The following is a 21,439-nucleotide window of genomic DNA, read 5'->3' as shown; positions in this document are numbered from 1 at the left end:
TGGCCCAGAATATCCAACAGTATCAGAAACTAGGCAGAGAGAGGCCAGTTGAGGTTATTATCGTTTCACAGTGATTGAGACGAAAGCGAGAAAGTGGCTCCCAGTCACCAGCTGGTGACAATGTCCATGACAGAATCAGGACCCAGTGTCCCTCTTTCACATTCCACTTCTTCAGGCTGTTGTGTTCTGTTCCATCAATGCACCAGCACACATGATGCGCAATTCTCCACCCTCCCACAGTGCCTTGTTTTCCAACCCATGCCAATGCATGCCATGTGATATTCACAACTCTGAGAGATGGGCATTGCTATGGGTTCAATGGTGTCCTCCATAAAGCTGTTCCACTTCTAATCCCCATTACCTGTGAATGTGACCTTATTTTAAAATAGAGCATTCACAATAAGACTGCATCCTTAGGAAAAGGAGTTTGGGCACAGAGCCAGGCACACACAGAAGAAAAATGATGTGAAGACAGAGCCAAGGAATGCCTGCAGCTACCAGAAGCTCGGAGAGGCCTGGAACAGATCCCGCCTCAGAGCCCTCAGAAGGATCCAATCCTGCTTTGGAACCAATATCTTGATTTTGGACTTCTGGCCTCTGGAACTGTGGGACAATACACTTCTTCTATTTAAGACACCCAGGTGGTGGTACTCTGTTATGAGAGCTCTAGGAAACTAATATAGGGATCTATGGCATTTTTCAGTTGAACAAAGTGAAGTCTAGACCTTCTGTGATTTTCCCAGCTTGTAGTTAATGTAATTAGGTCCAGAAATAATAAGATTTTCTGGCTCCCATATGAGTTTCACGATAATGGGAAAAGAACTAAAAATAGTCCGGGTGATTGGACGGGGCCCTAAATCTATGACACCCTGGTTTCCAAATTGTTTCACTCCATTGTCTGCCAAAAGACAAACAAACAAAGATAAAACTTGTTTGTCTGCTCTGCAAGCATCTTTGGGATGTGGCCCTTGCCAGCCTTCCCAGAATTACCTCCTGGCCTCGCAGACTTGAACGCTATACTCTAGCCCAGGGTTTGCCAGAACGTATGTGTCAGGTAAGATTATATTACGCTGCATGTAACGAACACTCGTCTATAATGGCTCAACTGCAGGCAGGGCTACAGTACCTGCAAAATGAAGGCAACAGGGACCAGGCTTCGTCTAGCTTTCTGCTCTGCCACTCAGCATATTCCTTTCATCCTCACAGAGGTGGCTACCACACTTCCAGGGACTGAATCCAGGCTCCAGAAAAGAAGAAAAGGGAGAAAGGGATAGGATGATGAAAATGCAAAAGGCACCTGCCAACTAAATTTTATCCAGTACCATCCAGTAAACTTAGATTTTATTGGCCAGAATTTGGTCACACAGGCAACTCAAGGGATGTCTGCAAAGGAGTTTGGAGAGGTGAGCATTTTTAAACTGGGCACAGTGCTTCCTCAAACAAAATGTATTTCTATTACTATAAAGCAGGGAAGAAGACATATTTCATAGTCTACTAGCAGAGTCAGAGACAACACAGGGCACATAACATTGGTGACACATAGAAAACTATTTTTTATACTTATAATAGTTAAGCATGTATTTTAGTATGTATTCAAAAAATGATTAAGATATCAGGCTTGAGATTTTACAAATATTTTTGTCTAGAACGATATTAAGGTTGGGAGCAGAGCAAGAAGGTAAATTGATTTCAATAAGATAATAAGTAAAATTGTACTGCTGGTTTGAAAAGATAACACAAGATACTTAAATCACTACAATTTGGGATATGCTGGGATTAACCCATTGTATTTCTGAAAACATGTCTGACCACTTTAATTCTCTGTGCCTTTGCATATGCATATGTCATCCTGAAATTTCCTTCCCTGGGCTTTTCTTCCTGGACAAATCCTAAATGCCTGCAAAACTCTTCCTAAAGGTCACTTCGTTTGTGATGCATTCCTAAAAGTCTCCAGTTAATTATCACCTCCTCTAAGTTTCCTCCAGCATTTGGTATATATACCTGTATCTGCCTTTATCTCCTTGTATAAGTCAGCATTGTCTATAATAATGCTTTATCACATACAATCTCCAGAGCTTAAAGGCGTACAAATACAAATAACTATTTCTCACTCATGTTATACCTGTGGATTTGATGCTATAGCCCTGCCAGACTGTGGTTGAGTTTGGGGTCTGACCCACAACTTTTCTCAATTTAAGTGTCAAGGCTGAAGGAGAGTCTACTTTCCACCTGCAATCATAAATGTGAAGTTCTCATGGTAGAGGGCAGAAATCTGAGAGAAAATTTGAAATACCTCTTAAAACCTTTGCTTGGAGCTACCAAACCATCTTTTTCACCCACAATTGCATAAATGAAAGCAGGTCACATCACCAAGTCTAAAGTTAAGCAGGCTCCCTCTTTGTGGGGTGTGAGAGTAGGTATGTGCTGGATAATAATACAAACCTCCCTACTCCCAATGTTATAATTATTTATACCCCTGTCTCATCACTAGACTGTGCTCTTCCATGGCAGAGGCTAGGTCTAGTGGACATTTGTCATGGCTTTCAAAGAGTCTTATCCCAAGTTAAAATCCTAAAACTCACTTTACCAGGTTCCCTTGCAGCTAGAATAGCTAGGCATGTGACCTGGTCTCCCCCAGTCAGATGAACTCGTGGGAGCCTTATGTTCAGATATTGTGTCCCAAAGCAGGGAACCATGCTGAATCCATTTCCAACAAGATGGATGTCTGACTTTCAGCAATGGCCGCAGGCTAGGGAGCTTCTTATCAGTGGTTGCCGCAGAAGGTTCATTAGAGCAATCCTGCAGTAGAAACTGGCACTGTGGCTACCACTATTGGCCAGTAGCTGTCCCACCAGAGATTCTATCAGCTAGCAATATCTCTTGAAAAATTCATTTTCTGCCTAAATTAGCTACAATAGATTCTGCTGTTTGCAACTATGAGCCTGACTGATACACTAGGTCTTACCACAATGCCCAGTACAGAGTAGGTGCTATAGGTTTGCTGGAAGAAAGTAATTAATATGATTGAAAATCACTAACTTATTCAAGCACTTACTGTACACCAGATGCCATTCTAAAATATATCTTAATTAATTTTTTATTCAATCTTCACCACAAACCTTTGAGGTAGATGCTATTTTTGTTCCCACTGTACAGATCAAGACACTGCAGCATAGAGAGGTTAAGAATGAATAATGATCAAATCATGAAATGCTGATCAATAGTTCTTCTAAGAGATATTATTTCTTTAGCACTGCTTGAATAAAAAAATGTGGTCCCCACAACTTCTCAGACATCTGACCTAGTCAAGACCACCAGTCCTGAAGGGCTACATGGAATCTCATGGCCTTTTTTTTTGTCAACCCATTTAGGAAACATTTAGCAAACACTCAATTTGATTCAATCACTTAACACTTATTATATTCTCCTCCAGTTCTCATTTCATCACATAAAATTATATTCTCCTTGAATGATCTCTGGGGGACTGAAGGACTAAAAAAGCTTTTAAGAACATTGTTTCAGTAGTTCCACCAGCCTCTTTAGGAAAATGGCTCTGAGATAACTCAGGTGTTATTTTTAAATTGTTGCTTAGTGAATTAACTCTTCAGCACCTTTCAAAGATAGGAAGTATTATCAATTCCACTTTGCTAATCTTCTGTTCCAAGATCAAATACGCAGAATACAGGTGGAGTGAATTCTGAAATATGCTGGAAGATTATAATTTAGAGAAAGTTTTCTGTTGCATCTTTTAAAATTATTTCAGCTGATTTTATTGATGTAGGGTAGATGTCAGCAGAAAACGGAAAGTGAGATACAAACAAGTTTACAATCTGGATAATTTGTATTGATAGACTTCTGTGCAAGGCTGTTTCTCCCCAAAAGGCATTTACATGAAGAAAACTGACTCTTTCCCATGGACTGCCAGGCCCTTCTTCTCTTCTGTGTGCCCTGGTTTTGAGTTTGCTCCTTGCTATTTTTTGTTCATTAGGAAGGAAGAAAGCTAACAATGGTAAGGGCCAAGTGAGTGTCCACACTGAGTAGTATTGAGTAGGAAACATAATCTCAATTTTCACAATGACCATTATGGACCCTATTGAAAGGGGATGAAGCTGAGGATCATAGTCATTAAATGACTAGGGCTAGTGAAAAGCAGATTTGAGATTGGAACTTCTAGTGCAGTGTTCATTGTATTAGACCATGTGGTTCTGAGCCCAGACATATCAATGCAACTGAAAGACATCTGCACTTAGAAACTGAAGGATGAAAATTCTTGTAAGCACAAACAGATAAAGTAAAAGGTGGGATCAGATGCAAAGGGGTCCCCTCTGAGCGTGTTGGCCTACAGGTAGGGCATAGACGATCTACTACCTAGGCTCTATATGCTTTGTGAACTACTGTGAGTTGCTCTTTTGAGGTTAGAGTGTTTCATTCAAGAAAATAATTCATCCAGACACTGAAAAAATCTGAAACCAAATCAACTTCAGTGCCTGTTGCAGGATCCCTTCAAGCTCCCACATAAATGGCATCTCCTTCAAGTCTTCTACCTAATAAAGATAAAAAGGATCTTTGAAAATCAGGGAAGGCTAATACTTAGAACTTAGTGAATTCATCCATTGTAAATGGGTAATCACTGACACAGCAAAATATCCTGATGGCTACAACATACAGATCAGCATGCCTATAGGTTAAGAGCAAGGGTTCTGGAGCTACACGACCTAGGTTTGAGTCCTGCCTCTGCCACCTCTATGTGTTCTTAAAATCTTCTATATCCTTATCGGTTTTTCTTCCTACCTGTTCTATCAACTATAGAAAGAGGGGTATTAAAATCTTCAACTATATTTATGGATTGTTTTTATCTTTAGCCATTCTGTCAGGTGCTTCTTTATATATTTTGACACTCCACTATTAGTGGCATAAAAGTCCCAAATTGTTTTGTCTTGATGAATTTACCTGTTTGCTAGTATAAAATGTCCTTCTTCATCTCTGGTAAGATTCTTTGCTCTAAAATCTACTTTGTCTGATGTTAATGTAGACACTCAGCTTTTTTGAAATTAGTGTTAGCCTTTTATATTTTTCCATGCTTTTGCTTTTAACCTATATGTGTCTTTAAAGTGAGTTTATCTAAAGTGAGTTTACTGTACTCAGAATATAGATGGACCTTACCTTTTCAGTATAAACTGACAATCTCTGCTAAAATGATTCTTGACCTGACTACGTTTAAATCTACCTCCTACTCCTTGTCTATTGGTCCTATCTTTCCTTTGCCTCATTTTTCTTTCTTGTTGCCTGCTTTTAGATTAAACATTTTTATGATTCCATTGTATCTCCTTCTTCGCTCATTAGCTATAGCTCTTTGTTGTGTTAGTATAGTGATTGCCTTAGGGTTTACAGTATGCATCTTTAAATTACCACAGTCTACTTTAAATAATATTATAAAAGTTCATTTATAACATGAGAAACTTACACTAGTATACCTCTATCTTTCCGACAACCTTTATGCTGTGGATTTTTTACATTTTACTTTTACACAGTGTCAGAAATTATACACTGACTTGTTACTATGTTTGTTTGAACAATAAATTTTGTTTTCTTGAAGTTTTTATTTTTAGATCATAGTAGATTGCAAGAAATAATACAGAGATTCCATATACTTTTACCCAGTTCCCCCCAGTGGTAATATTTTGCAAAACTATAGTATAATATCACCACTGTAATATAGACATGTATATGAGAGGATCTCAAAAAATTCACGGAAAACTTGAATAAAAGATAAAATAAAAAATATAAACTTTATTTCTCAATATAAGATCCATCAAGTTCAATACACTTTTGTAAGCAGTGATATCAGCCATTTAGTATAGCCCTAAAGAACTGAGCATCCTGGGAATTTAACCATGTCAATGCCATCTTTGTTTAAATGATTAGCTGAAAAATGGGTGTCCTTTAAAAATTTTTTAAGATTAAGAAATGAAAAAATAAAAGAATAACCCAAATCATTCACCTGTAAGGTGAGTGCCTAATGATTTTCCATTGAAACTCTCACAAAATTGCCCTAGTTTGATGAAAGGAATGAGCAGGAACATTGTCGTGGTGGAGAAGAACTCTTTGGTGAAGGTTCCCTGCTTCTGCTAAAGCTTTGACTAACTCTCAAAACACTCTCATAATAAGCAAATATTATCATTCTTTGGGCTTTCAGAAAGCCTACAAGCAAAGCACATTGAACATTCCAAAAAACTATTGTCATGGCCTTTGCTCTTGCCCAGTTAGCGTTTGCATTGACTGGGCTACTTCTGCCTCTTGGTAGCCATTGCTTTGATTGTGCTTTGTCTTCAGGATTGTACTGGTAAAGCCAAGTTTCATCTCTTGTTACAATTTTGTTTCATCTCTTCTTACAATTCTTCAAAGAAAGGTTTCAGAATCTTAATCCCACTTGTTTACAATTCCCAAAATTTCCATTGAAAGCTCTGCTGTTGTCTACAGCTTACTTGGACACAGTGGTTTTGGTACCCATTGGGTGGAAAGATCACTCAACTTTAATTTTTCAGTCAGAATAGTGTAAGCTGAACCAATTGAGATGTCTATGATGTTGGCTCTTGTTTCTGCTATTGATTTCTGGTCCTCTTCAGTTAGAACACAAAAAAGATGAATTTTTTTCTTGCAAATTGATGTGGGTGATCTGCCACTGTAGAGTTCATCTTCAACATTGTCTTGTCTGCTGTGGACTTTATCTTCAACATTGTCTCATCCTTTCTTAAAACAAGTTTCCCATTCGTAAATTGTTATCATTTTTCCACTGCCTAAGGGACTTCCTTTAAGTATTTCCCATAGTATAGGTATGCTGGTTGTAACTTCTTTTAGCATTTGAATATCTGAAAAAGTCTTTACTTTGCCTTTGTTTTCTACAATTTTTTCTGAATGTAAAATTCTAGGTTAACAGTTTTTTTTGAGGGGTTAGTATTGACAAATTGTTGCTTCACTGTCTTCTTACTTGCATTCTTTCTTCAGAATTCTGTCACTCTTCACTTTGTTCCTCTAAATATAAATTATCTTTTTTGTATGGATATTTTTAAGATTTTCCCTTTACCTGTGGCTTTGAGCAATTTGACAATGGTACATCTTTATGCTGTTTTCTTCATAATTTTTGTGCTTTGGGTTCATTGAGGTTCTTGGATCTGTGGATTTACAGATTTCACTCAAATTTGTACATTTTCCAGCCATTATTTCTTTAACTATTTGATCTATTTATCTTTCTCTTCTTTTCTTCAGGACTAATTACACATATATTAGGCCAGGGGAGTTGTAGCATGGTTTAATGATGCTCTGTTCATCTTTTTTATTACTATCATTCACCCTTTACTCCATGTTTTATTTTTAAATAGTTTCTATCACTGTGTCTTCAAGTTCATTAATCTTTAATTCTGCAACATCTAATTTGCCATTAATTCTGTCAAGTGTATTTTTTATCTCAGACATTGTAGTTTTTATTTCTAGAATATTATGTTGGGTCTTTTTTATATATTTTATGTCTGTAGTTAATTTTTTTTGAACCCATAGAATGCTGTTACAACTGTTTTGATGTTCTTTTCTACTAATTTGACATCTCTGTCAGTTCTATTGGTTTTTATTGATTGTCTTTCCTCCTTACTATGGATCACATTTTTCTGTTTCTTTGCATGTCTCATAAGTTTTGATTAGATGCCAGACATTGTTAATTTTACCCTGTGTGGTGGTGGATGTTTTTGTATTTATATAAATATATGTGAACTTTGTTGCAGGACACAGTTAATTTACTTAAAATAGTTTGATCCTTTCCAGTATTGCTTTTTTTCCCCAGTATTGCTTTTAATGTTTACTAATATATGACAAGAACAATGCTCAGTCTAGGCTTATTTATTAGCGATTACTAAGGCAAAATCCTTCAATGTACTCCACCCAGTGGCCTATGAATCATGAGGTTTTTCCAGTTTGACTTGTGGGAACATACAGTATTCTGATCCTCTCTGAGCTCCAGGCACTGATTTCCCTAAACCAAGCTTGTTCAACCCACAGCCCATGGGCCACATGCAGCCCAGGATGGCTTTTAATGCAGCCCAATATAAATTTGTAAACTTTCTTAAAACATTATGAGTTTTTTTTGCAACTTTTTTTTAGCCCATCAGCTTTCATTTGTTTTAGCATATTTTATGTGTGGCCCAAGACAATTCTTCTTCCAATATGGCCTAGGGAAGCCAAAAGATTGGACATCCCTGCCTTAAACCTTTCCAGTGTTTGTTCCCCCCCGCCCCCCTAGAGGCCTCAGGTACTTTCCTCACAAATATGCATTGATCAGAATTCTGTTGAATACTTAAGTGGGAGTCCCTCTGCAGTTCTCTGGTTTTCTCTCTGTGTGCAGCTGTCTCCTCTCTGGTATGCTATCTTGTGAACTCTACCTGCTTTGATCTTCTTAGACTCTAAGCTTCATTACCTCATTTATTCATCTCCTCAACTCATGAAGTTTGCCAGGCTCTACCTGGGTTCTCTCCCACTATGTTACAGCCTGGAAACCCCCTCAATTCAATAAGCTGGAGAAGCTGGGCTCACTTTATTGTGTTTACTGTCTCTTGAAGATCACTGTCACTATTTTTCTAATGTCCAGTGTTCCAAAAATCATTGTTTCATATATTTTGTTACGTTTTTTTGGTTGTTTCAGGCTACAGGGTAAATTTGATCTCTTTTTTCCTGTCTTGGTCAGAAGCAAAGAGCCCTTTTTAAAATCAATGTAAAATTATACGGTACTTAATGTTTTGGGTCCATAATTATTACCTTTCCATTTGGTAAAGTTCCTTTTTCTCCACTATCCAGGCAATATTCAAATATCCTCAATTAACCCCCAATCTTTACATCTAAATCATTTAAAACAATATCCAATCCAATACAGCACAGTTCATGCTGTTTATTCCTTTAAGTCTCTTTTATTTGTAAGCATTTCCTATTACTTAAAAAAATCTTACTTGTTAAAAAGACTGGACACGTCGTCCTGCAGATTGTCCCAGCTGGTGAATTTGTTTGGTTGTCTCCTAGGGGTATTATTTAGCTTGTTCCTTTATTCTTTGTATTTCCTGTAAACTTGATGTAATTAATTTAGATAATTTTGACTAGAACACATGATGGATATTGTAGTATACTACATGTTGCATCACATCATATTCAAAAATACATATTCTTTGTTTAACCTACCATTATGGGCTGAAGTGTGAACCCCTACAATTCGTGTGTTAAAGTCCTAACCCTTAGTACTTCAGAATACTTGGAATATTTGGAGATAAGGTCTTTACAGAAATAATTGAGTTAAAATGAGGTCATTAGGCCCTAATTCAATGTAGCTGATGTCTTTAAAAGAAGAGGAAATACGAACACAGTTACCTGGACACATAGAGTAAAGACCATGTGAGGACATGAGAAGGTGGACATCTGGAAGCCAAGGAAAGAGGCCCCAGGAGGAAACAACTGCCGACACCTTGATCTCAGATTTCTAACCTCCAGAACTGTGAGAAAATAAATTTCTGTTGTTTAAGCCAACCATTTTGTGGTAGTTTGTAGTTTGTTAGGCAGCCCAAGCAAACTAATAAACACCACTATGGAAGCTAAGATTGAATACTACTGAACTCAATTTTAGTTGTCATTTTTCACCTGCATCCAGAAAGCAACCTATGTGGTGTTTATTGACATTATTCAAACATCCAGTTGTCCATCAAATGTTCATCTAATGACTTTAACATCTATGGAAACTTTTCGCTCCAAACAATATTGTCAAGAGGGTTTATAAATTAAAGTTTTTAAAAATTCAATCACTCCTTTCCTATTTACCTATACATTGGATATTTATATCTTAATCTGATGTTCTTTTATACACTGGAGATTTATATCTTAACTAGGGCTATTTAGTAACACCAAAGCATAGATTCTACTGGAAAAGAAAGATACTTGCTTAACACTATCCATGTAATTACCAATTTTCAAAGTACAGTTCTCTCTCATTCTCTGTGGGGGACTGGTTCCAAGACCCCTGATAGAACAAAATCACTGGATGTTCAAGTCCGTTAAAACGACATAGTATTTGCATGTAACCTACACACATCCTCCCATATACTTCAAATCATCTCTAGAATATTATAATATCTGATATAATGCTGCCACATCACTTAATTTACGTGAATTCAATGTAATACTCATCATGTAGCAAACAATGTGTTGCTTTTTAAAACTTTGTGAATTTTTTTTCCAAGTAGTTTCAATCTGCAGTTGGTTGAACCCGCAGATGCAGAACCCATGAATATGAAGGGCAGACTGTAATCAATTGTTTTAAACTGCCTAAAATGATAAGAAATAGGGGTTTTCTTTTCATTTTCTAAATATTACTATAGACTTGTGGATTTTTATTGACTGAATGTTTAAATCTATTACAATTATTACTGTTTTTATGTTCAAATTCTCATAACATTTCATGACACTTTGTAAGTTGGCTCCTGGGTCTTTTTTATGTTACAGTAGTAAACTTTGAAAGTTTCTTTGCTTTTTAGCACAATGAAAGGCCTTTAGTTCATCTTGTATTATCATTTTTTTGGGGGGAGGGGGGTGATTGCCTCAGACCTGAAATTTGCCATTTTTCTAGGAATCTCTAGTTCCTTTCACTGTGGAATTGAATTAGTGATCATAATATGGATTCTAGAGGTGCTCATTGCTACTATTTCCATGGTAAGAGCTACAATAAACAATGCATGTACATGTGTGGATGCATGTGTGAATGTGTGTATGAACTCTCTGTCTCTCTCTCTCTCTCTAATCATGTATTCTTTTTTAAAATATCCAACTTTTATTTTAAGTTCAGGGGTACATGTGCAGAATGTGCCAGTTTGTTACATAGGTAAATGTGTGCAATGGTGGTTTGCTGCACAGACCATCCCATCACCCAGGTATTAAGCCTAGCATCCATTGTCTGTTCTTCCTGATGCTCTCCCTCCTCCCATCCCCAATCCTCTGACAGGCTCCAGTGTGTATTTTTCCTCCCCACCCACAATGATTCCACGTGTTCTCATCATTCAGCTCCCACTTATGAGTAAGAATATGTGATATTTAGTTTTCTGTTCCTGCATTAGTTTGCTAATAATAGCCTCCAGCTCCATCCATGTGTCTGCAAAGGACATGATCTCATTCCTTTTTATGGTTGCATAGTATTCCATGGTGTATATGTACCACATTATCTCTATCCAGTCTATCCTTGATGGGCATTTGGATTGATTCCATCTCTTTGCTATTGTGAATAGTGCTGCAGTGAACGTATGTGTGCATGTATCTTTGCAATAGGATGATTTATATTCCTCTGGGCATATACCCAGTAACAGGATTGCTGGGTCAAATGGTATTTCTGCCTTTAGATCTTTCAGGAATCACCACATTGTCTTTCACAATGGTTGAACTAGTTTACACTCCCACCAACAATGTAAAAGTGTTCCTTTTTCTCCACAACCTCATCAGCATCTGTTATTTCTGGACTTTTTAATAATCACCATTCTTACTGACATGAGATGTAATCTCATTGTGGTTTTGATTTGTATTTCTCTAATGATCAGTGATGTTGAGCTTTTTTTCATGTTTGTTGACTGAATAAATGTCTTCTTTTGAGAAGTGTCTGTTCATGTCCTTTGCCCATTGTTTAATAAGGTTGTTTATTTTTTTTCTTGTAAATTTGTTTAAGTTCCTGGTAGACTCTGAATATTAGACCTTTGTCAGATGGATAGATTGCAAAAATTTTCTCCCATTCTATAGATTGTCTGTTCACTCTGATGACAGTTTGGTATCTGACTTTGGTATTTGACTTGAGGTATTTTTATTTTTAGATTTTATTAATGGTAATACATTTGCACTATATAGAAAGTTCTACCCAGAAAAATCTTGTTTCTACCCCTTATTCTACCCCATCTGCCCTCTTTCGTAGTTTACCATTCTGTAGTAGTTTTTATCTTTCCAACATAGTGTTTGCCTGTTTCCGTAGCGTAAATATTCCTTACCATGTCAATTTCAAAATACCATGTGTATGCCAACTAGCCGGAACAAATCCTGAAAATTTAACAATCAGTCCTTACAAGCTGGTACAAACTTCCTCCAGAACACGTCTACCTGTCTTCCCATGCCCCCTTTACACAAGAATTAGTAAGCTGCACTGAGCCTTTGTTTTTGTTCTGTGTTTTTACTTAATAGCACGTGGTCAGATACTATGAACTGGTTGTCATATACATCATCAGAACACTTTCATTAATATCTCATATTATGTAGCATGATTTACCACTTTTTCCTAAGACTTGGGGAGAGAGTTTGAATTTGGAATCAGAAAGATTTGGATTCTAACCCCGAATCAGGCCTTATCTTGCCTTATCTTTCTGAACCTCGAGTTTTTCATCTATGAAATGGAGACCATAATATAAAATCTGTGATATAATCAAAGAAATAAAATGTTCAGATATAATATTAATTATAATATTAATAGTCAGCACATATAAGTGCCCTGTTTTTGCCAGATACTGTTCTTAGCATTTTACTCAGCATTTAATTCTCACTTCTAAATGTGACGTGTACTATTATTATTCCCATTTTACAGATGGAAAAAGTGAGTCACATAGAGGCTAGGAAACTTTTCTACGCCACACAGCAAGTAAGTGATGGAACAAACATTACACTTAGGACATCTACCTCTAGAAACCACTCTCTCTTTTAGAACTACCCTCTAAAACATGCTTAGTACATAGTGGTAACTCAACAGAGTCACTGTCCTCCACTACCTCTAGTTTCTTAGTTTCAGCTGCAACCTCCTCTTGGTGATTTGAGGCAAGAACTTCCACATTTGTGGGCCTCGTGGGCTCCTGTATTAGTCTGTTCTCACACTGCTAATAAAGACATACCTGAGACTGGGTAATTTATAAAGGAAAGAGGTTTAATTGACTCACAGTTCCACATGGCTGAGGAGACCTCACAATCGTGGTGGAAGACAAAGGAGGAGCAAAGTCATGTCTTACATAGCATCAGGCAAGAGAGCTTGTGCAGGAAAACTCCTCTTTATAAAACCATCAGATTTCATGAAATTTGTTTACTATTACAAGAATGGCATGGGAAACAACCACCCCCAGGATTCAATTACCTCCCACCAGGTCCCTCCCACAACACATGGGAATTATGGGAGCTACAATTCAAGATGAGATTTGGGTTGGGACAGAGCCAAACCATATCAGATCCTCTCACCAACTTCCTAGCTTTCTTTTTTTCTTGTCTCAGTCTCCAAAATCCTCCCCACCCACTCCAAGTTCACTGCCACATCCATCTGTGGAGAACATGACAAACGGAGAGGAAAGGCTAGACCAGCAGCACTACCCTGAACCTTCCCCAGAGACCCCCTGAACTGCCCTGCTCTGGTTATTCAGCTCAGCAGGGAACTTCCATGGGGTTTTCACACTAATAGCTTGGTGTCTTTGCTGGGCTAGTTATTAAATACTTTGAATATTTAAGAAGGCAGTTTCTGTTGTATATATCCCCATTACGTAAATGAGGAAGCTGGCTCAGAAAGATTAAATAACTTGCATGAATCCTGGTAGAATCAATGCTAGGATTCAAACTCAAATCAATGTTACTACCAAACTCTTACAACTTAGCAGTTTGAGAATGAAATGAAAACCATCATTTCCAAGAGTACTTGGGGCAGAGGCTGATTTTGATCAGTGTAGACTTGACTGTCCAGTTACAAATGGCTTTAGCCTCAACACTGTCCTAAATCAGAGTTATAATCTTAATCACTAGCATTTGGCTTGGTCTCAGAATCCTAGGACTGGCACTGAGATTTAATAATTTACCACACACTCAGCACTGATTTAACAGAGACTCTGCTGCCTTAGGAATGGATGAAATCAGCTGATGAGATCACGATTCATGCTAACATTCTTGCAGGGATTAAATAAGATAATTCATGAAGAGCTTGCTATGGTGCCTGGAATATAGTCAACACTCAGGAAATGCTATTTATTTTATTATTACTGCAGCAAAGATTACATGAGAGAAAATGATTGAGAACTTAGATCTGAGTTTTAAACTCAGGACTGATATAGACCTTAAGTAGTCCTGTATGTCTCTGAGTGTTCCCATCTTTAATTTCTGTAAGGAGTAAAAGAGATGATATACATAAAGCATCTAGCACACAGTAGGCACTCAATATAACATAGCACACTTGACTGTATTTGCCTAGCAGCAAAAAGTTAATAAAGAACTTTAACATGCATGCAAATGGCCAAACAGAGGGGTCCGGAGACTTGCATTCTAGTCCTGACTCTGACTTTAACTGAACAAAAGAGCCAAGTTATGGCTTGTGTTTCCTTTTCCTCCTCTGTAAAATGGATGATTTGGAGCCCATGCCTCCTTCCTTGTTCTGACAAGTTATTCTTTTTTTTTTTTTTTTTTTTTTTTTTTTTTGAGACGGAGTCTTGCTCTGTTGCCTAGGCTGGAGTGCAGTGGTGCAATCTCAGCTCACTGCAAGCTCTGCCTCCCAGGTTCACACCATTCTCCTGCCTCAGCCTTCAGAGTAGCTGGGACTACAGGTGCCCGCCACCACGCACAGGTAATTTTTTGTATTTTTAGTAGAGACGGTGTTTCACCGTGTCAGCCAGGATGGTCTCGATCTCCTGACCTCGTGATCTGCCCTCCTCAGCCTCCCAAAGTGCAGGGATTACAGGCGTGAGCCACCGTGCCCGGCCACCATTATTCTTTAGAACTTTCTGCCAATCTTCCCAACAATGCTGTGAGTCAACAGGGGTGTGTCCATCTTACAGATGTGGAACCAAGACTCAGAATGCTTGGACTCAGAATCATAGAATCTCAGGGTCATCATGATCCTTAGAGAATGTTAGTTCAGTGGTTCTCAACCTTCTGAGACCCTTTGTTCACACTCTCTCCTTCAATCCTACTCTCTCAGTGGGGAGTGGGGGAGAATGCTTGGCCTCTCTTTGTTGACTCTTGAGAGTGTGGCAGAAAAAGTCAGCTGCTATGGTAGCTGATGAGTTATAAAGCAGGCTCTGCGATCACATATAGATGCAGGAATGGTGAGAAACAGCATAGGATAGCAATAAGAATTCAGGAGCTTTTAGTTGATCCACTGTGTTCATGGCCACGCCAGCAGGAGGTACGAGTTCCCAGGTTCAGTAAAGCCATCTATCCATCACTGAGTCTCCCCGCAGATGATGTTATTCTCCACTGTCTGCGCAAACGTTTTCAGGTTCTATCTTCATTCTTCTTGTGATTTTAGGACTGTCAAATTTGCTTAATATCCTCTTTCTAATTCTGTTAACTGGATTCTATTTCACATACAGAAGATCTTTAAACATGCATGGCTACATATAAAGTCTCCTCAGTATATGTTTATATCAACTTAAAATAATCAAAAGGGTCAGAATCTAGTTTAAAGAGAGTTTATTCAAGCGCAATTGTTTAAGGATAGCCACCCAGGAAAGGCAAATTCCAAAAAATGGAAGTCGGTGTTTCAAAGGGTAGAAGTTTGAGATTGTTTATGTAGACAAAGTTTAACATCTTCCTATATAAGGCTTAATGTATAGTTACAATGATCTAATTAGTTTAAGTAGTCTTTTTTCTTTCAGGAAATGTATATGTAACATTTCACACTGAAGGTGTAGCAGTCATGGGGTCTTTTGCAGTGTCTAGTCGGAGTTAGGAATGGGACAATAAAGGAGGCAGTTAATCTATAACAAAGATCACTGACCGGAATGGGGAGGGCCTGGTCTCTGGTCTCCCCTAGTCAGTTACAGAATAAGAACAATGAAGAAGTGAGTTAATCTATCATCTAAGACACAGAATTGCAAAACTGCTCTGTGACTCAATCTCCAGGGCTTAATTCTTCCTTAGCATAATAAATTTAGAGGCCCCTGAAATCTTATTTTTGTCTACATTCCATACAAAAAGTTATCTCTAATTTTACACAAAAACTTCACCCATCTATTTTGGACATTTCACAAACACCCACCCATTTGGTGACTTGGCTGCAAGGACTCATGGGACTTGGAGGCAGTTGTACCTGCATCCTTGCTTTAGTGTGCTTTATGTGTTCTCTCTCTCAAGGGGACAATCATATAGAATGTGCTCCTTCCTCCAGCAATGAAATGCAGCAATGTATGTGAAGTGTTTCTGCCTAACAAAGCACACTTAAGACCCAGTGTCCAAGGTTTTCACGGGGGGGCTGGTCACCCAGGCATCTGATCACTAAAGAAAGCAGAATACAAAGTCTAGCAAGCTGGTACAGTGCCCTAGGCACACAAAACAGTCTTATCAGTTAATAACATAGGGAATACTCCAAAGCCAGGTTCCCAGAGGCCAGCCAATGGTCTACTGCAAAGCAAGCCCATCGAACCAGCCACATCAAGCCTGCTATGTACACTCTTTCCTGCATGCCACCGTTCATGCTTTCTTGGAACAAATGTAAATATCCCACATGCTTATTGAGTTTTTGAAATTTCACAATGGATAAAATAGTAGGACTATACTGAGTGCAAGTTTGATATCTGCTCACAAAGAGTTGTACAATGTGACAGCATTTCCCCTTACATATTTCAGAATCACTGATCTACTGCACCAACCACCACCCCTCAGTCACAGGCGGGCCTTAAACTCAGGCCTTCTAAACTCCCTAGAGTTATTTCTGTATACACCATGATCACCTAGGAAGCTTTAGAAACTACTAGGCCTGGGTCCCCTTCTGAGATTCAGATGAAATTGATCTGGAGTGCAGCCTTGGCTTTGGAATTTTTTTTGCTTTTTGAGCGGGGGAACAGAGTCTTACTCTGTCATCCAGGCTGGAGTTCAGTGACACTGGCATGGCTTACTGCAGCCTCAACCTCCTGGGCTCAATCAAGCAATCCTCCTGCCTCAGCCTCCTGAGTAGCTGGGACTACAGAGGTGCACACCACACTCGGCTATGCTTTGGAATTTTTAAAACTCCTCAGTTAATCCTCAAAGTTAAGACCCACTCCTCCTTAGGACCAACGGTTCTCAATGTGTGTTTTCTAGACCACCAGCATCAGCATCACCTAGAAACTTGTTAGAAATGCAAATTCTCAGGCCCGCACCAGGCCTATGAAATCAGGAATTCTGGGTGTGGGGCCCAGAAATCCATGTTTTAGTAAACCCTCCAGGTGATTCTGATGCCCATTCAAATTTAAGAACCCTTGCCCTAGACCAAGACACAAGTCTTCTATGTGCCCCCCTAGGTTCTTGGTCAGGGCCACTGCTGACACAGCCACAGGAAGCCTGAAGCACTACACCTGAATGCCTCCAAGAGCCACTACTTAGACAGATTTACTTAGCATCCCCTTTCCTTCAATGTTTCCCAAAACTGGCTTTACATGTGGGGGAGTGGGACCCACCTTGTCAGACTCATGGATAAGTATAGGAAGATGAGTGAGTGAACAAAATTTGTAGAATGTCGAGAGGGACAAAGCAGAGAGTGTGGACATTATATAGTCAAGCAAAAGTGCCTGATAACAGCAGAGTCAAGAAGCCAGCAAACTGAGACCTGAATTCTACTTTCTGCTGCCTCTCTTCTTGTACCCAAATGTCTGTGTCTCGGTTTCATCATCTGCAAAATGGAGACAATAATTCCTCCCCGATCTAATTCAGAAACCCTTTTTGCTGGCTGCATGAAATAATGTGTGGAAATTTGTAGGGATCTGACAAAGATAAGGTATTGTTCTCCAGTCTGTAGGGTGAGAGGCAGGGCTGAGAGCAATAGCATTGTCTGTCTGCTGAAGGGTTTATTGACCTAATCCTTCATTTAAGATTTATGTTCGCCAAGTAGGCTAACTAGTGTCTGGAAAGTGGAAAATTCTGCCCAGTTTCTATATTGGTATCATGTTAATTCACAAAACTATCTCAACCATTTCACTAATTTCAGTCTATATATTTTTCTCCAATTTAGTGAACTTGATTATACACATGCAAATATAGCTCTTGTCTGCTTTCATTGATACTTTCAGTGGGGAAGGGAGGGAGGGAAAGAAATTAGCAGTTTTCCAGTACTTGACATGTACCATTTGCCTTCCATTTCTTTTCCTTTTTTTTTCTTTTTTTTTTTTTTTTTTAGACAGAGTTTTGCTCTTGTTGCCCAGGCTGGAGTGTAATGGTGCGATCTTGGCTCACCACAACCTCCGCCTCCCGGGTCCAAGAGATTCTCCTGCCTTAGCCTCCCAAGTAGCTGGGATTACAGGTGCCTACCACCACGCCCGGCTAATTTTTTATTTTTAGTAAAGACGGGGTTTCTCCATGTTGGTCAGGCTGGTCTCGATCTCCTGACCTCAGGTAATCTGCCTGCCTCGACCTCCCAAAGTGCTGGGATAATAGGCGTGAGCCACTGCACCCGGCCTGCCTTCCATTTCTTAACATTTCATTCCTACTATAAACCATAGAAAGCGAACATGATCTGTATTTCACAGATAAAGAAACAGAAAGTCAGAGAGGTTAAGGAACTTGACAAGAACCACACAGATGGCTGGAGGCAGGGGCAGCACTGTGCACAGGTCTCTGCAGTTCATATGCTTCCCACCAGTCCAGTGTCTGTCATTTGCAGACCCACTCCAACTAGGGGGTGAAATTGGTGATACTCATTAATTAGAAAGACTGGCATTTCCAGCCACATAAGATTTGTCTGTGATCATGGAGCCCTCCCTGCAGTGTCTAAGCCAAGTGAATGAGAGAGAGCTTCACAGAAAGCAAACACTCTCTTCTGAAGCTCTGCTCATTGCACTTTCCAAATTGAAACATGGAAGATCCCATAGGCACTCGAGGAAATCGAACTCTTTTGTACATGGAGAAAAATCAGTGTAAATCTCTCATAGATTTGAGTCACCAACACAGAGAAAGGGGCTTTGGAGCATAAACAGCCTTCCTCAAGAAATCAAGGGACTAGATACATTGATTAATCTATCTTCAAAGAAAACACACTCACTCTCCTGAGATATCTTGATATCTGCTTTCAAATCCAGGAAAACCATTACCACAGCTAGAACACTTGGATTTCCTCCTTCTGTTCCAATGCAGCAGGCATATGCCTGTGGGCACTTGTCCCTCTGAGTCATCCCCTCTCTGAAGCTTTAGCGGCTTCTGCAGATTCTCCAAACCAGGGCAATAGAAAGGAGACTCTTCCTTGAACCCTTAATTGCAGTTGTCAGGATGTCTTAATAATGGTTTTTTTATTATTTTTAGGCAGTCCCATTTCAAACTCTTTCCTGCTAATTTCAACTTTAGGGTTAAAAATAATACTGTGTTATACTTATCCATAGGATGAAACTTACGTGGCCACATTTTGAGAACAATGAATTGTTTAACACCTACAGTGTACATCACCTAGAACTACACCTTGTCCTGAAGTTAATGAAACAGAACATTTAAACCTAACTTAAGTTTACAGAACCTCTGGAGGACTCAATCCTATTTGAGTAAATAACTATGAAGGAGCTTTTTAGTGGTACAATTTATAGGTGCCCCTATTTGACTCCGGAGCCCCTCCTCATATTCCCATATGCCTTCCACTTCCCTTTGGGGCACATAAGAAATTAAGTGGTGCTGTTGGTAAGCGGTGCTGTTGGTTTACTTACCTGCATACCCTGCAATATCCTCAGCTTTTTGAGGTCTGGAACCATGTATCTGAGTCACCACTATCTTCCCAGAACCTACTACATAGTAAGTGTTCATTAAAAAAAATTTGTTCAAAGAATGAATGGGACAAAGAATTGCTTGTGAGTTAAATATTTATAAATTAAAATCTATTTTAACTCTATTAATTGAGCACTTTGGGAATAAACTTACTTTTTTTTAGTAAAGTAGTTTCAAATGGGTAAAAAATCCTCCCCTTTCTGATCTGCCAACAGAGAAATTTAGTGACTGGGACATGAAGTAAGTGTGTGGGCAAGAGGTCTAGAATTCGATGGAATCCCAGGAACTGGAATATGGCCTGAGGGGTTGGGAGGCTGGGCTAGGAGGTGATGCATTGATGTGATACAAATAATCAACAAAAACTAAATGTGATAAAAAGTTTCTAAGGTGATAAACCCAGTGAAAGGTGCCTTAAAGGCAATGTCTGTAAGATAGGGGCCATTATTACCACCCTTCCACAGATAAAGAACTGAAAAAGGAATAAAGTAGGTTACATGGTTTTTGGATGTGCTACAGCTAGGGAGCTAGTGGAGTTGGGTTTCAAAGTCAGACCATCTGCCTCCAGAAGCCCCACTGCTGACCCCAGCTGTCCCTGAGCTCCACAGGCAGGCTGGGGTAGGGGGTGAGTCTCCTCAGAAGGGTGCCCAAAAGGAATAGCAAGTTCAGGCAGGATTCTGACTACATTGGGGTCCAGGAATTTTAATGCAGTACCCAAGACAGTAAGGTCAGGTCACTTACAGGTAGGTTAGGGACTCTCCTCTGAGAGCCCATAATATCTTGTGCATATCTCTTCCACCAATTACACTTACCACATTTATACATGTGTATGAATATTTTAAACTTTTGTGTTTTAATTGTTTTTATTTCTTAAACAAAATATTTTAACTATTTATTCAGCCACAGATATCTCCCTCCAACCCAAGCCACTAAAAGTGCTCGTCAAGGGCAGGAATCCTGTCTTACTAGTATGGGGGATCAGAATATGCCATCCCCAAAGATGAAGCATTGTTTAGGTAAAGGCAATTAAGAAGAAGCAAATGCAGGAAAGCTCTCCACCTTCCCTCTATTTACCTAAAAGCAGGACCCAGATTTACAAAGTCAAAAGGTATCTTTCCCTCCTTCTATCAGAGAGTGCCACTGAAGATAAATTTAGACCCTGTCATCTGGAGATGGCACCAAAGAAATCTATATGAACAAGCTCTACTAACTCACCTTTCTCTGCTATGTATTTGCCTTCCTACAAGTTGCTGCCCTGAGAGACTCACAGTCCTTTCCTTTGTCTTCTCATTTCTCTAAAAATGTACTGTTCTTTTAATTGAAGATGCTATACGACTTGGAATTCAAAGCTACCTCTTGGAGAATTACTCATTCCCTGGGTGTCTCTCATGTACACATGAAATATCCATGTTAATTTGTGCCTGTTTTTCTCTTGTTCATCTGTCTTTTGTTGCAGGGGTCCATTCAATCTGAGAAACTATGAGTGCTGAATTTAAAAAGTATTATTCTTCCCTTTCACTAGCAAAAACGGGGTATCCAATTGATGTCCAGTAAATGTTTGCCATGACTATGGACAGGTGGATGGTAGACGGATAGATGATAATAGAAAGAGAATAGAAACAAGTAGAGCCTCCAAGGGTATTTTTCCAGGAACTCAACTCATATGAAAAATCCTTCCTAACCCCTGCCTACAGACTGTGTGAGGAGGTGA

The 21,439-nt window shown here is 39.1% G+C and overlaps 1 long non-coding RNA gene across 2 annotated transcripts in view; it reads right to left on the bottom strand.

The window, feature by feature from the left end:
- The window catches only part of LOC105374505 (uncharacterized), a 190,382-nt gene that overhangs the window by 70,550 nt on the left and 98,393 nt on the right, over positions 1-21,439 (bottom strand). The window lies entirely within an intron of this gene.

Source organism: Homo sapiens, chromosome 4, assembly GCF_000001405.40.
Source record: "Homo sapiens chromosome 4, GRCh38.p14 Primary Assembly".
Classification (NCBI taxonomy): Eukaryota; Metazoa; Chordata; class Mammalia; order Primates; family Hominidae; genus Homo; species Homo sapiens.
Note: the sequence above shows the minus strand (reverse complement) of the source record. Positions and strands in the feature narration are given on the sequence as shown.